The sequence below is a fragment of the Homo sapiens genome, chromosome X (assembly GCF_000001405.40).
Source record: "Homo sapiens chromosome X, GRCh38.p14 Primary Assembly".
In the NCBI taxonomy this organism is placed as follows: domain Eukaryota; kingdom Metazoa; phylum Chordata; class Mammalia; order Primates; family Hominidae; genus Homo; species Homo sapiens.
Window position 1 is genome coordinate 85,143,548 of NC_000023.11, and position 18,025 is coordinate 85,161,572.

The 18,025-nt window shown below is 38.3% G+C and overlaps 1 protein-coding gene across 2 annotated transcripts in view; it reads right to left on the reverse strand.

Annotated features, from left to right (window-relative positions):
• The window catches only part of SATL1 (spermidine/spermine N1-acetyl transferase like 1), a 151,496-nt gene that overhangs the window by 51,264 nt on the left and 82,207 nt on the right, over positions 1–18,025 (reverse strand). The window lies entirely within an intron of this gene.

Sequence of the window (18,025 nt, forward strand, 5' to 3'; positions counted from 1 at the left end):
AATAATTAATTATGCTTTAATTAGAGAGGGAATCAATGCTTTGTAGTATCTAAGGCTAAGGAACTAGACAGTATTACAAGCAAAGGTTCTGTTGTTTAAAATTCACAAACCTGAAAGTATCTGTTTTTTTAAAAGGTGATTATTTTTAGAAGAGATAAATAATTATTTCCTCTTAAAGATAACATGTTTGTCTCTGATCTCTGAGATAAATATGAAAAATTCTATGGACCAGTAACTAAAATTTTTACTTGTGTCAATATTAGTAATTGTTTTAGGCTACTTATATTTAACACTGTTTCTTAGAATATATAAATGTTGTACCAGATTTTTAAGAAAATTTTCAATCGGCAATGTATTCAATACAAATATGTACTTACATGATATAATAAAAACCATGCGAATCCATGTAAAAGGAAAGAAATGGCCAAAGAAATAAGTGGTATAATCATACCTGTCTATGAAACAGCATAAAATCTTTGCCAAGCCAAGAAGTACAACTTTTTTTTTCTAAATATTGGCTATTGAAAACAGATGTGACTTAAATTTCTCTAAACAGCACCATTTGACATAGTAATTCTGGTGGGCACTTTTGGAATGTTGGGTAGTTGAATGTTCAGTGGAGCATTTTGGCCCAGTGAAGTTGTTTCCATATTTAAAGGTGTAAGTCAAACTTTTAAAGTACTGTACTATGTTTTTACCTAAAAACTGTGTTATATTTTCTGATGTTGCCTTTTCACTCCTTTTAGCAATATGTTTATGTAGTAGAATCAGTGTGTCATATTTTACATTAGGAAAAAAATACGCTCTACAAAGGGCAAACAGCTTCCTTTTGGATTCTATGTACCTAATCTCATCAAAGAAGCTTCCCCTTCTTGCCTATCACCTCCATCCCCAAACATACTCGGATACTCAGAGACCTGGGATTCAGACAATCTGAACTCTGACTCCATGGAATCTCTTCTTTGTGTTTAGGCTGGAGGAAGGTTAAAATAGTTTTCCTTTTCTTGGAATTGCAGTTTCTGTGCATGTTTATAGGTCCTGTGACTTGACTCGTAAGAAAGGTTCCTACTGAGTTTCAGACTTTAGAAAACTTTTTCTCAGTTCAGATCAGGGAGGAGACACTGCAGCTATATCCTGGGCAAAATGACTCTCCACAGTTTTCTTGAAATTATCAAAACATCATTAAGAGTTGGGGCTGTCTGGGTGCAGTGGCATATGCCTGTAATCCCAGCTACTCAGGAGGCTGAGACGGCTGGGTCTCTTGAGCTCAGAAGTTCAAGACCAGCCTGGGCAACACAGTGAGACCCAGTCTCTTCAAAATATAAAATAATAAAAATAAAAGAGCCAAGTGTGGTGGTGCACAACTATAATCCCAGGTACTTGGGGGGCTGAAGTGGGAGGATTACTTGAGTCTGGGAGGTAGATGCTGCATGAGCCGTGATTGCACCATTGCAATCCAGCCTGGGTGACAGAGCTAGGCCCTGTCTCAAAAAAAAATAAAATAAATAAAATAAAATAAAAAAGAGAGCAAGAGATGTGGCTGAGCTGCCTGCTACCCTTAGTGGCCTACTAGTAGAGTGACTATTTAATCTATCTGTCTAAATTAGTGCACATTGGGAATGAAGAGAGCATTATTAATAATTATTCTGGGACAACAGGCATAAACTGGAAATGTCCTAGCAACCCAGTATTTATGTTGACCCTATCTTTGGGTACTGTGCATCTTGTCAAATTTACTAATTATGCTTATTTTTATGTCTGTCTTTCTCTTGTATATTGTAAGCTATTTAAAAACATAGATCTTTGTTTTAACCATGATTACCTATCAAATAACTGGAATAGTACTTGGCACATACTAGGTGCCCAATAAATCTTGTTGAATGAGTGAAATATTACTGTATAATAGGCCATTTTTTTGTGATTCATTCCTAGGCTAAATGAGAAATATACTCTTGTGAAAGTCCTTTTCCAGGAAGAAATCTATGAGTATGAATAAGATATATTTGAAAAATATACTTTGGCCTCCAATAAATGACAGTGTATTACATATTAAAAGCCACATCCTTTTAAGTAGAGTACCACCTATTTGAAGCTGGTAGACAGCTTCAAAATGTGGTAGACACATTTTCTTACAGAATCCTAGACAGTCATAGCTATGAAAGATTATAGTAATCACCTAACCGATCTTTTCATGTCAGCTATGACAGTATGCCATAATATAGTAGTCCCCCTTATTTGCAGTTTCACTTTCTGTGGTTTCAGTTACCTGTGGTACCACGATCTGAACATACTACATACAGTAAGATATTTTGTAAGAGACCACATTCACATAACATTTATTACAGTATATTCTTTTTTTTTTTTTTTGAGACAGAGTCTCGCTCTGTCGCCTGGGCTGGAGTGCAGTGGCACGATCTCGGCTCACTGCAAGCTCCGCCTCCCGGGTTCACACCATTCTCCTGCCTCAGCCTCCTGAGCAGTTGGGACTACAGGCGCCCGCCACCACGCCCGGCAATTTTTTTGTACTTTTAGTAGAGATGGGGTTTCACTGTGTGTTAGCCAGGCTGATCTCGTTCTCCTGACCTTGTGATCTGCCTGCCTCGGCCTCCCAAAGTGCTGGGATTACAGGCCTGAGCCACTGTGCCCGGCCTACAGTATATTCTTATAATTACTCTATTTTACCAATTGTTATTCTTGTTAATCTCTTACTATGTCCAATTTATAAATTAACAGGATGACTACAGCCAATGATAATTTATTGTCCATTTAAAAATAATTAAGAGTATAATTAGATTATTGGTAACACAAAGAAAGGATAAATGCTTGAGGTGATGGACACCCCATTTACCCTGATATGATGAATATGGATTGCATTCCTGTATCAGAATAGCTCATGTACTCTATAAATACATACACCTCCTATGTGCCCACAAAAATTAAAAATTTAAAAAAATAAACTTTATCATAGGTATGTATGTATAGGAAAAATCATAGTGCATATAGGGTTCAGTACTATCTGCAATTTCAAGTATCCACTGGGAGTCCTGGAATCTATCACCTGTGAATAAGTGGGGACTACTGTTTATTGGAATAACACATACTAGGAGTACCTTACTTAGGATCTGACATTTACTGTTCGATGGGGTAACCTGACAAAAATTCTGCAGGAGGCAATGAAGCACTCTCTAAAGATACTATATGAACAATTCTTGCCAGTAGTCACTCCCATTGGGGAATTTGGGAAAGTCATATTCTCCCTCTCCATAAATACATGGACATTTCTGGCTGGCAACCAAGATGGCCGAATAGGAACAACTCCGGTCTACAGCTCCCAGCATGAGTGACACAGAAGATGGGTGATTTCTGCATTTCCATCTGAGGTACCGGGTTCATCTCACTAGGGAGTACCAGACAGTGGGCGCAGGACAGTGGGTGCAGCGCACCGTGCGAGAGCCAAAGCAGAGCGAGGCATTGCCTCACTTGGGAAGCACAAGGGGTCAGGTAGTTCCCTTTCCTAGTCAAAGAAAGGGGTGATGGACGGCACCTGGAAAATCGGGTCACTCCCACCCTAATACTGTGCTTTTCCGACGGGCTTAAAAAATGGCACACCAGGAGATTATATCCCACACCTGGCTCAGAGGGTCCTACGCCCACGGAGTCTTGCTGATTGCTAGCACAGCAGTCTGAGATCAAACTGAAAGGCGACAGCAAGGCTGGGGGAGGGGTGCCCGCCATTGCCCAGGCTTGCTTAGGTAAACAAAGCAGCTGGGAAGCTCCAACTGGGTGGAGCCCACCACAGCTCAAGGAGGCCTGCCTGACTCTGTAGGCTCCACCTCTGGGGGCAGGGCACAGACAAACAAAAAGACAGCAGTAACCTCTGCAGACTTAAATGTCCCTGTCTGACAGCTTTGAAGAGAGCAGTGGTTCTCCCAGCATGCAGCTGGAGATCTGAGAATGGGCAGACTGCCTCCTCAAGTGGGTCCCTGACCCCTGACCCCCGAGCAGCCTAACTAGGAGGCACCCCCCAGTAGGGGCAGACTGACACCTCACACAGCCAGGTACTCCTCTGAGACAAAACTTCCAGAGGAACGATCAGACAGGAGCATTCGCGATTCACGAAAATCTGCTGTTCTGCAGCCACCGCTGCTGATACCCAGGGAAACAGGGTCTGGAGTGGACCTCTAGCAAACTCCAACAGACCTGCAGCTGAGGGTCCTGTCTGTTAGAAGGGAAACTAACAAACAGAAAGGACATCCACACCAAAAACCCATCTGTACATCACCATCATCAAAGACCAAAAGTAGATTAAAACCACAAAGATGGGGAAAAAACAGAGCAGAAAAACTGGAAACTCTAAAAAGCAGAGCACCTCTCCTCCTTCAAAGGAACGCAGATCCTCACCAGCAATGGAACAGAGTTGGACGGAGAATGACTTTGATGAGTTGAGAGAAGAAGGCTTCAGACGATCAAACTACTCCAAGCTACAGGAGGAAATTCAAACCAAAGGCAAAGAAGTTAAAAACTTTGAAAAAAATTTAGAAGAATGTATAACTAGAATAACCAATACAGAGAAGTGCTTAAAGGAGCTGATGGAGCTGAAAGCCAAGGCTCGAGAACTACGTGAAGAATGCAGAAGCCTCAGGAGCCAATGCAATCAACTGGAAGAAAGGGTATCAGTGATGGAAGATGAAATGAATGAAAGGAAGCCAGAAGGGAAGTTTAGAGAAAAAAGAAATGAACAAAGCCTCCAGGAAATATGGGACTATGTGAAAAGACCAAATCTACGTCTGAGTGGTGTACCTGAAAGTGACGGGGAGAATGGAACCAAGTTGGAAAACACTCTGCAGGATATTATCCAGGAGAACTTCCCCAATCTAGCAAGGCAGGCCAACATTCAGATTCAGGAAATACAGAGAATGCCACAAAGATATTCCTCGAGAAGAGCAACTCCAAGACACATAATTGTCAGATTCACCAAAGTTGAAATGAAGGAAAAAATGTTAAGGGCAGCCAGAGAGAAAGGTCGGGTTACCCACAAAGGGAAGCCCATCAGACTAACAGCGGATCTCTCGGCAAAAACTCTACAAGCCAGAAGAGAGTGGAGGCCAATATTCAACATTCTTAAAGAAAAGAATTTTCAACCCAGAATTTCATATGCAGCCAAACTAAGCTTCATAAGTGAAGGAGAAATAAAGTCCTTTACAGACAAGCAAATGCTGAGTGATTTTGTCACCACCAGGCCTGCCCTAAAAGAGCTCCTGAAGGAAGCACTAAACATGGAAAGGAACAACTGGTACCAGCCACTGCAAAATCATGCCAAATTGTAAAGGCCATCGAGACTAGGAAGAAACTGCATCAACTAACGAGCAAAATAACCAGCTAACATCATAATGACAGGATCAAATTCACACATAACAATATTAACTTTAAATGTAAATGGACTAAATGCTCCAATGAAAAGACACAGACTGGCAAATGGCATAAAGAGTCAAGACCCATCAGTGTGCTGTATTCAGGAAACCCATCTCACGTGCAGAGACACACATAGGCTCAAAATAAAAGGATGGAGGAGGATCTACCAAGCAAATGGAAAACAAAAAAGGGAGAGGTTGCAATCCTAGTCTCTGATAAAACAGACTTTAAACCAACAAAGATCAAAAGAGACAAAGAAGGCCATTACATAATGGTAAAGGGATCAATTCAACAAGAAGAACTAACTATCCTAAATATATATGCACCCAATACAGGAGCACCCAGATTCATAAAGCAAGTCCTGAGTGACCTACAAAGAGTCTTAGACTCCCATACAATAATAATGGGAGACTTTAACACCCCACTGTCAACATTAGACAGATCAATGAGACAGAAAGTTAACAAGGATATCCAGGAATTGAACTCAGCTCTGCATCAAGCGGACCTATTATACATCTACAGAACTCTTCACCCCAAATCAACAGAATATACATTTTTTCAACAACACACCACACCTATTCCAAAATTGACCACATAGTTGGAAGTAAAGCTCTCCTCAGCAAATGTAAAAGAACAGAAATTATAACAAACTGTCTCTCAGACCACAGTGCAATCAAATTAGAACTCAGGATTAAGAAACTCACTCAAAACCACTCAACTACATGGAAACTGAACAACCTGCTCCTGAATGACTACTGGGTACACAACGAAATGAAGGCAGAAATAAAGATGTTCTTTGAAACCAACGAGAACAAAGACACAACATACCAGAATCTCTGGGACACATTCAAAGCAGTATGTAGAGGGAAATTTATAGCACTAAATGCCCACAAGAGAAAGCAGGAAAGATCTAAAATTGACACCCTAACATCACAATTAAAAGAACTAGAAAAGCAAGAGCGAACACATTCAAAAGCTAGCAGAAGGCAAGAAATAACTAAAATCAGAGCAGAACTGAAAGAAATAGAAATACAAAAAACCCTTCAAAAAATTAATGAATCCAGGATCTGGTTTTTTGAAAGGATCAACAAAATTGATAGACTGCTGGCAAGACTAATAAAGAAGAAAAGAGAGAAGAATGAAATAGATGCAATAAAAAATGATAAAGGGGATATCACCACCGATCCCCCAGAAATACAAACTACCATCAGAGAATACTAAAAACACCTCTATGCAAATAAACTAGAAAATCTAGAAGAAATGGATAAATTCCTCGACACATACACTCTCCCAAGAATAAACCAGGAAGAAGCAGAATCTCTGAATAGATGAATAATAGGCTCTGAAATTGTGGCAATAATCAATAGCTTACCAACCAAAAAGAGTCCAGGACCAGATGGATTCACAGCCGAATTCTACCAGAGGTACAAGGAGGAACTGGTACCATTCCTTCTGAAACTATTCCAATCAATAGAAAAAGAGGGAATCCTCCCTAACTCATTTTATGAGGCCAGCATCATCCTGATACCAAAGCCGGGCAGAGACACAACCAAAAAAGAGAATTTTAGACCAATATCCTTGATGAACATTGATGCAAAAATCCTCAATAAAATACTGGCAAACTGAATCCAGCAGCTCATCAAGAAGCTTATCCACCATGATCAAGTGGGCTTCATCCCTGGGATGCAAGGCTGGTTCAACATATGAAAATCAATAAACATAATCCAGCATATAAACAGAACCAAAGACAAAAACCACATGATTATCTCAATAGATGCAGAAAAGGCGTTTGACAAAATTCAACAACCCTTCATGCTAAAAACTCTCAATAAATTAGGTATTGATGGGACGTATCTCAAAATAATAAGAGCTATCTATGACAAACCCACAGCCAATATCATACTGAATGGACAAATACTGGAAGCATTCCCTTTGAAAACTGGCACAAGACAGGGATGCCCTCTCTCACCGCTCCTATTCAACACAGTGTTGGAAGTTCCGGCCAGGGTAATCAGGCAGGAGAAGGAAATAAAGGGCATTCAATTAGGAAAAGAGGAAGTCAAATTGTCCCTGTTTGCAGATGACATGATTGTATATCTAGAAAACCCCATTGTCTCAGCCCAAAATCTCCTTAAGCTGATAAGCAACTTCAGCAAAGTCTCAGGATACAAAATCAATGTACAAAAATCACAAGCATTCTTATACACCAATAACAGACAAACGGAGAGCCAAATCATGAGTGAACTCCCATTCACAATTGCTTCAAAGAGAATAAAATACCTAGGAATCCAACTTACAAGGGATGTGAAGGACCTCTTCAAGGAGAACTACAAACCGGTGCTCAAGGAAATAAAAAAGGATACAAACAAATGGAAGAACATTCCATGCTCATGGGTAGGAAGAATCAATATCATGAAAATGGCCATACTGCCCAAGGTAATTTATAGGTTCAATGCCATTCCCATCAACCTACCAATGACTTTCTTCACCGAATTCAAAAAAACTACTTTAAAGTTCATATGGAACCAAAAAGGAGCCTGCATTGCCAAGTCAATCCTAAGCCAAAAGAACAAAGCTGGAGGCATCATGCTACCTGACTTCAAACTATACTACAAGGCTACAGTAACCAAAACAGCATGGTACCGGTACCAAAACAGAGATATAGACCAATGGAACAGAACAGAGCCCTCAGAAATAATGCCGCATATCTACAACCATCTGATCTTTGACAAACCTGAGAAAAACAAGCAATGGGGAAAGAATTCCCTATTTAATAAATGGTGCTGGGAAAACTGGCTAGCCATATGTAGAAAGCTGAAACTGGATCCCTTCCTTACACCTTATACAAAAATCAATTCAAGATGATTAAATACTTAAATGTTAGACCTAAAACCATAAAAACCCTAGAAGAAAACCTAGGCAATACCATTCAGGACATAGGCATGGGCAAGGACTTCAAGTATAAAACACCAAAAACAATGGCAACAAAAGCCAAAATTGACAAATGGGATCTAATTAAACTAAAGAGCTTCTGCACAGCAAAAGAAACTACCATCAGAGTGAACAGGCAACCTACAAAATGGGAGAAAATTTTCGCAACCTACTCATCTGACAAAGGGCTAATATCCAGAATCTACAATGAACTCAAACAAATTTACAAGAAAAAAACAAACAATCCCATCAAAATGTGGGCGAAGGATATGAACAGACACTTCTCAAAAGAAGACATTTATGCAGCCAAAAGACACATAAAAAAATGCTCACCATCACTGGCCATCAGAGAAATGCAAATCAAAACCACAATGAGATACCATCTCACACCAGTTAGAATGGCAATCATTAAAAAGTCAGGAAACAACAGGTGCTGGAGAGGATGTGGAGATATAGGAACACTTTTACACTGTTGGTGGGATTGTAAACTAGTTCAACCATTGTGGAAGTCAGTGTGGCGATTCCTCAGGGATCTAGAACTAGAAATACCATTTGACCCAGCCATCCCATTACTGGGTGTATACCCAAAGGACTATAAATCATGCTGCTTTAAAGACACATGCACACGTATGTTTATTGCGGCACTATTCACAATAGCAAAGACTTGGAACCAACCCAAATGTCCAACAATGATAGACTGGATTAAGAAAATGTGGCACATATACACCATGGAATACTATGCAGCCATAAAAAATGATGAGTTCATGTCCTTTCTAGGGGCATGGATGAAATTGGAAATCATCATTCTCAGTAAACTTTCACAAGGACAAAAAAGCAAACACCGCATGTTCTCACTCATAGGTGGGAATTGAACAATGAGAACACATGGACACAGGAAGGGGAATATCTCACTCTGGGGACTGTTGTGGGGTGGGGGTAGTGGGGAGGGATAGCATTAGGAGATATAGCTAATGCTAAATGATGAGTTAATGGGTGCAGCACACCAGCATGGCACATGTATACATATGTAACTAACCTGCACATTGTGCATATATACCCTAAAACTTAAAGTATAATAATAAAAATAAATAAAAATAAAATAAAAATTAAAAAAAAATACATCGACATTTCTATGTGATGTATGCCATCTCAGTTTTCAGTATATGCATCAGAGAACCACATTCATATTATTTGGCAGGGTCTCAAGGTTTTATAAAAACACTAGAAGTTCATATATGAGTCATTTATTTCTATAAAATATAGGAGGAAAATCTGGAATCGTGGGAAAGATGGGGGCAGGTAGATTTTGCTGGCAGTCTTTTCTCATCTTTTCATATTTCTTCTTGCATTTGCTACAGACTGGCCAAGTTAGTCTGTTAACCTACATTCATTGCTGTAGGAGTAGGTGCGAGGAAACACTCAGGTTGCAGGTATGGAACTGGAAGCCTAGGCCTCTTCAACCTCTTCAGAGCAGTGATAGAACTAGTGTAGCCAAAGTGAATACAGGTATAAGCCGTAGGCAAAATGCTGACAATTTAAAAAACAGTCTTGAGACAGCCCTTGTGGATGAGCCTTATTTTTCTTCATACGTGCCACATCTTCATTGCCTAATGATTGGGAAATCTTGTCAGCCTTCTGCATGCTGACTCAGTGTGTTAAAACCTGTAGGCTTTAGAGTGCTTGCTCAGGTGGGAAATGGGACAACATAAAACTCTTGAAGGTCTTAAGGAGAAATGTGATGGTTGAGTAACAATGAAATGTTTGATTCATTCAAGGGACACCATTTGTTTTTTCCTAATATGTGAGCTTTTTCTATTTCTCTCTATGTAGATGTCCAAATTTCAGAAGTCAGTGGAAAAATTATGGGTACATGGGGACCAAATGTGACCAACTCTGGAGTACTCTGGATCTGATTTTAGTAGTGTCATTGCTTGGAATACGATTGGCTTTAATAGTTGGTGTAACAATCCAGACTATGTACTGCTGTAAAAAGAAGTCAAAGAAGAATATAGCTGACCACTAGTAAGAAATTTCTAAATACCTTGAGAATGATGGCAAATCTCTTGTGAGATCAGCAAATGAATCCAGAAATAATGAATATAATTTATCATGCATATTACATACAGGTGGTATGTTCTCTTCCACATTCATCAACATCGTAATTAAATTCTAACAAAAGTCAGATTAACACTGCCACACCAGACATATTTTGTTCAGGATTTGGATAAAGTAAAAACTGGAAAGTCACTTCCCCAGACAGAAGCCAAGTGTAATTCACCAGATAACTGTCCTACTTCAGTGTTTTCCTTCCCACCAAGGGTCAGTATTTGTGTGCACCCCCATATACTGTCCTAATAGTGTGTGTTGGTTGGGGGTGGGAGACGGCGTACCATTACCTCCCACTCACTCCCTAATCCCAGCAACAATGCCAGATAAATGGAAAGAGGAATCCAATAGACTTGCTCTAATCTGAATCTGTCTTGGGTAAATCTCTTCACATCATTGGGCTTCATGTTCCTAATCTATAATATAGAAATTGTTATAATCAGATCTACCCACCTCACAGAGATGGTGGAATGATACTTAAAGCAGCAATCGTTTATTGAGAGTTTATTATGTGTGTCAGGCTGAATTATAAATGTTTCACACCTATCAACTCATTTAAGACTCACCACCCTATAAAGTCTTGATGAGATTACTGAGGCACAAAAAGATCAAATAACTTAGCCAAGGTTACAGGCCTAACTCTGAACCCAGGCAGTCTGGCCATCTGGCCACTAGACCTAAACTCTTAACTCCAGACTATATTAATGGAATCTAATGAGATAAAATAGTGCTTAGAAAGCTGTAAAGCCATGCTATATTCCCTTCACTTATTTGTTTAAAAGCAAACTGTTTCCTTTATACTTTGCACTGTCTCTGAATGAGAGGTATGAGGGGTAAATAACAGTATAGTAAAATCTCATAAATTTTATATTGGTAAATTCGAATTAGCATCTACATTAAATTATAATTCCCCAGTGACAAGATAATGTTACCCTCTATGCAGTATAAAGGTAGTTTGAAATATTACTTTAAAATTGGAAGAATGGGCTTATAAATTGTAATAAAATCAGCAATTTGAACAGCCTCAGATATTTGTCTCTGGGAGGAATGAGATAAACTCTCCAACCTTTTTGTCATTTCAAAATCCTAAATTTTGCACCATAATTCCGTATCCTTTCAAGCATCATGTGGTATACATGTATATATAGGCATAAAATCAATGCTAAACATTAATTTTTAAAAATTTAAATTACTGTGGAGAATTCCATATCACCATTTGACAGAGGTTGGAAACCCCCTGAGATGTTAAAGAAGCATTATGATTAGAAATCACACCTGTAAACATGTCACTTTTGAACTATTCTCCATAGCTTTCCTACTCCAAGGTTTTCTAGAACACTGGATTTGTATTCCAATCTTTCTCTTCCTCTAATTGGGTATAACTTTGAGGTGATCACTTAGCCCCTATTTCCTCCTTTAGAAGTAGGGAGAAGGATGATACATATCTTACTTCCCTATACTTGTGAGATTCAAATGAAATAATTAATGAAAAATTGTATTGAGAAGCAAAAGTAAAACGGAAAGATTTATAATAAATCTCAAGCACTTGGGGTTATTTACATGCTTTTTGGGTAAATAATTAAGCTGCTTTATTTTCTTCCAATTAAAATGCAGTTTAGTTTGAGCTCCATTTTATTCTCCCTCTGCCATTTCCTGATTTGTGAATTGACAAAGTAACTTTAAATATACTCTGGGAGATTCTTTAGTGTAGTGAAAAAAATAGGGGCCATGGTGCCAGACAGAATGAGACTCAATTCCCTGCCCCATAAATCACTGACTATGTGGCCTAGGGGCACTTTCTTAAAATTTCTTAGAGTTGGGCTTCTTATCCACAAAATGAAGTTAAAATTACCTACCTTGCAGGCTTTTTGTAAATATTTAAATAAAATAATGTAATATTTTTGTGAAATATACTGATGTCTGCAATTTACTTTTGGGTGTTTCAAAAAATAAGGTGTACTAATGGATAGATAAAGGAATGAATAGATGGACAGATATATATTAAAGAAAGTATATTAAAATTTTAATGGTATAATTAAGTTGGTAGATACATGGGCATTAACTGTAAAATTCTTTCAGCTTTGCTATAAGTTTTAGCGTTTTTATAATAAAATGTTGGATGAATCAGACAATCTTAAGTAAACCACTTTGAACATGGAAAACGTTAAAAAAGGTCACCATTCTTATTGCTTTCTCTTGGGTATAGTCTGAAAATGGGAGCATTCATTCCGTATTGTCGCAAAACAGTTTATCAAAGAAAAAGATTTATAACCAATTAAGCAAATGCTCTATCCTATGTCGTTGTTGTTTTTCAAATGTGCCAGAGAACAGAGGCGTTCATCAGGACTCCAACCTTAGCAGAATTCTGCATATGATTTTGATACTGATATGAGGCCTCCTCAACCTGATCAAGGCCGGGTAAACACTGGAACTCATTTGCCAGATAAACTAAGTTTACAGAAGGCACCATAAACAGAAATGCCTCGGAGAAACAAAAAGAACCTTGGGAGATCAAAGAAGTAGTCAGAGACAACAAAATGAGATGTAATCAGATCAAATTGCACAAATATGGGATGGTTGATGACAGGTAGAGTACAGGTTGATGATCAGTAGAGTACAGGCCAGGCCTGGGGCATTTACATTGGGAGTGCTGTCTACTATTCCTCCCCACCATTTGTTTCCAGGTAGCATCAAGTTAAAACACATACCTAAGGCAGCCTTGGGGAAAGTTAAAACATATCAAAGAGGCAAAGAGGTCCGCAAAAGAGGGCCAGAAAGATATGGATAACAGTACAAGGATTTGAACCATGTGGAGATTATATATATATATATATATATATATATATATATATATATATATATATATATATATAAAATATGTAAATCTCTTCTCATCCAATGTTCCTAGTAGCACAGATTCTCTAACAGAGACTTGTGGGAATCTCTTCAATTCATTTCATTGTACTTTAGGAGCAGCTCTGAATGAAGAGTAAGAGGGGTATGTGTGTCATATTAGGCCACAAGTATCAGAAACGGCAGCAATGCTTTTATTGTTTTAAATCGAACAAATCATATGTAAAACACTACAAAATCATCTTTTTGTTATGGCATACTAAGTCCTAGAATATGCCCAATTATGATCTCTATATTTAAGGAAGTAATTCTACATATGTTTCTGATATGGCTCTGTCTTAATAACATCAAGGCCAGTTAAATGCTGAAACTCATAAAAAGGTTAAATTAAAGGGTTGATGAATCAAGGAGAGTGGCAAGATACTTTCTAGTTGAAGTCAAAAAAATTAAATATTGAAACAAATTATAGTATGAAGGGTTTGTTGTAATCTATAGTATTTTTCAAAAAAGAAGGTTAAAGTACTCTAGGTGAATATCCTACTATGAATATTGTTGATGTCTCCAAAAGGCTAAACTCTAGAACTGTCAAATGATTTTGGTTGCCCATTTTTCCCAATTATTTTCTAGATAAACCCTAAAAGTTAGAGAACCGTGCAGGTAGGAGACACCTTTCTTTTTCTAAGGATTCACTTTTTCTTAGTCTCCCTAGTTACTTCTGTCACCCACCTATTTTTCAAATCTCCGAGTTGACATTCTCATCTTTTCTCCTCTGTAATAATCTCTCTTTTTAACTTAATGCTATACAAGCTCTAATTGTGGATAAAATTCATGAGGAAAGCCAAGTATAATGCCCATCACTTAGGCTATGTTCAATAAATGTCACTCTCCCTTTCCCTGTCTCAAATTTCCTATGGCTAAATCTCTGCTATAGTTCTTGTTAAATATGAATACTTATGGATACTTTTTATTTAATGCTTTAACCATTTCCTAAACTTTCCTTGTCTAGGAAAGCCACAAGCGAACTACCATACCTGTCCCAATCTACATATTCTTCTCTTTCAGATTGTTTCCCAAAGTCTGGGGAATTAGGAAGCAGAAATGGACTACAGGTTAACAACTTAATAGAAAACTAAGAGACTTTTAAACCAACTTAAACTATTTAGAAAGGTGTCCAGATGCACTTTGCTCTGAACGTACATTTGAAAGATTGACTTTTGCAAGTAATGACTTCTCAGAAGCTAAGACTTAGATGAAGTTTCCACAGAATTAATGCTTTTTCATGCAAATTCATCACTGTTTTTTTTTTTATTCAGCTAGCTCACACACACAACCAGGAACTAATAAGCAGAGGTTGAATTCATTCTTGAATTGTCTATGTTAACCTTTTCTAACTGATTTAGCAATTAGATTTGAGTAAGTTGACGTGAGACTACATATTTGCTACCTCTTCTTCACCCCATCCCCACCTCCACTTTTACGTTTAGCACAAAGTAGCTTATAGCTTTCAAAGTTGTTACAATTGTGGCATGAGCATATAATTAGAAATCCCAATACATTCTGTAAATCTTTGACAGAAAGGGGTGCTCCATAGTTTAGTCATGTGAAAAGAATTCACTGTTGCCTTTGTTGGTTATTTTCGTTGTTGTTCTCATCATAAATACCTTTTAAAAATTTATCTACCTTTAAAACAAAGCTTTTATAGTTCAGCCTTTTCCATAGGAAAGGAATATGCTTGAATTACTTTCACCTGGTGAAAATAAACAACAATTATATTGGGGGAATAAAAACTACATTTCCTAGAGATCCAGCTAATGGGCATATTCTTAAGAGTATAGAAATAAATACTGGTATGGCTTAACGAACATAAAAAGAATACCAAGCCATATAATAGAAGCAACAAATATGGATAAATGCTCACTGAAAAGGAAGAACACTGAATAATAATCCGATTTTCTAAATGTGGCAGTGATAATCACAAACTTACCATATTATTGACTTTATTATATTTTCAAATGGAATAAATTGAAAGTAGGAGGAGACAAGCTAAGCTTTAAATTATCAAGTTTTTAAATCCAGGAAATTATCCTTCCTAGATAATAATACAAAAATAATATCTAATTATTTAAAGTATTCTTTACATACCTGAGAGTATTATTATAACTTAATAATTTGTCATTTGAAGTTGTTCATACCATCATCAAATAGTTAAATATTATCAAGCACTCCACAACAGACAACACTGTACAAATTGTGATAATCTCCAGCCCTTCACTATAATTTCAATATGTAATATCACTGGATAAGTATAAGATTAACTCCACCCTATAAGTACCTGGTTAGTTACAGCTTTATGACTGTGCATATTTGCATGGTTAAATCACTATGTCATATCACTTATGTAATTCATGAAATGAATATTTTTAGACAACGAGTTATATACAACAGGGGTCCCCACCCTCCTGGCCATGGACCCATACTGAGGGGGCATTAACACCTAAGTTCCGCCTCCTCTCAGATTAGTGGCAGCATTAGATTCTCATAGGCATGCAAACCCTATTGTGAACTACACATGCAAGAGATTGAGGTTGCATGCTCCTTATGAGAATCTAATGCCTGATGATCTGAGGTGGAACAGTTTCATCCTAAAACAATCCCCACCTGACTGCCCTACCCCCAATAAATAGAAATATTGTCTTCCGGGAAACTGGTCCCTGGTGCCAAAAAGATTGGGGATCGCTGATCTGAAGTGTACTGGAAATAAGAAAGGTAGAAATAACATATTTTACCATGTTTTTTTTCAAAATAAATAGTACAACGTTTTGCTTTAAAAAATATTAGCCCTCATGGTAACACCACCATGAACACAACTGCATGCAGTTGCTGGAGGGTCCCCCTGACCAAGCCATGCTGCCTCTGTGAATGCCCACATGGAAGCCAGCAAACTGGCACCTGCTAGCATCCTGCTGTAGCTGATAAGCATGAACCCTGCCATGCTGCCACTGCTGCTGCTGCTGGGACATGTGAACAAGGATGGATCCTGCTGCCACCACCCTACGAAACACCTTGGCTGGCACCATCCATTGGCGTTCTGGGACCAGCAGGTCGGGAGCACATAGGCCCCCACCATCACAGTGTGTTCTTAAACTTAAAGAGCCAGAAAACAAAGTCGGGGCCCAATATCAGTCCCCCAGTGTTAGAGCATGCAGTTCAGGAGTTGTGAGCTGAGCCTTGGCCCCTTACAATCTTCCAGAAATGAAGTCAGCTGACTGAACCCACCTTACACCATAATCAAACTCTCAAGGTCATCAAATAGGAGAAAAGAAAAAAAAATCTAGAGGACAGCGACTTTAAAGATGGAAGGAATATCAGCCCATAAACATGAGAAAGAATCAGTGCAAGGTCTCTGACAACTCAAAAAGCCAGAGTGCCTTCTTTCCTCCAAACAACCACACTAGCTCTCCAGCAAGGGTTCTGACCTGGGATGAGATGGCTGAAATTACAGAAATAGAATTCAGAATATGGATAGGAACAAAGATCATCAAGGTGCAGCAGTAAATTGAAACCCAATCCAAGAAAACTAAGGATCACAGTAAAACGATACAGGAGCTGACAGAAAAAATAGCCAGTATAGAAATGAACGAAACTGACCTGATAGAGCTGAAAAACACACTACAAGAATGTCATAATGCAATCCCAAGTAGAATACCAGAATAGACCAAGCTGAAGAAAGAATTCCAGAGCTTGAAGACTGGCTTTCTAAGACAGTCAGAAAAGAATAGAGAAAAAAGAATGAAAAGGAAAAAATAAAACCTCCGAGAAATATGACATTATGTAAAGCGACCAAATCTATGACTCACTGGTGTCCCTGAAAGATGGCAAGAATGGAAGCAACTTGGAAAACATATTTCGGGTTGTCATACATGAGAACGTCCTCAACCTAGCAAGAGAGGCTAACATTGAAATTCAGGAAATGCAGAGAACTCCAGTAAGTTACTTCACAAGATCTACCTGAGACACACATCATCAGTTTCTCCAAGGTTGAAATGAAAGAAAAAAATCTTAAAGGCAGCTGGAGAGAAAGGTCAGGCCACGTACATCAGACTAACAGTGGAACTCTCAGCAGAAACCCTACAAGCCAGAAGAGATTGGGGGCCAATATTCAACATTCTTAAAGAAAAGTAATAACAACCAAAAATCTCATATACGGCCAAACTAAGCTTAATAAGCAAAGGAAAAATAAGATTCTTTTCAGATAAGCAAATACTGAGGAAATTTGTCACCACCAGACATTCCTTAAAAGAGTTCCTGAGGGAAGCAGTAAGTATAGAAAGGAAAGACCAGCCACTACAAAAACACACTGAAATACACAGACCAGTGACACTATAAAGGAACCACACGAACAAGTCTGCATAATAACATCTAACACATCATGATGACAGGATCAAATCCACACATATCAATACTAACCTTCAATGCAAATGGGCAAAATGCCCCAATTTAAAAGGCACAGAGTGGCAAGCTCAATAAAGAAGCAAGATCCAATGGTATGCCATCTTCCAGAGACCCATCTCACATGCAGTGACACACACAGGCTCAAAATAAAGCAATGGAAAAAATCTGCCAAGCAAATAAAAAAAAAAAAAAAACAGAAAAAGCAGGGGCTGCAATCCTAATTTCAGACAAAACAGACTTTAAACCAACAGAGATCAAAACAGACAAAGAA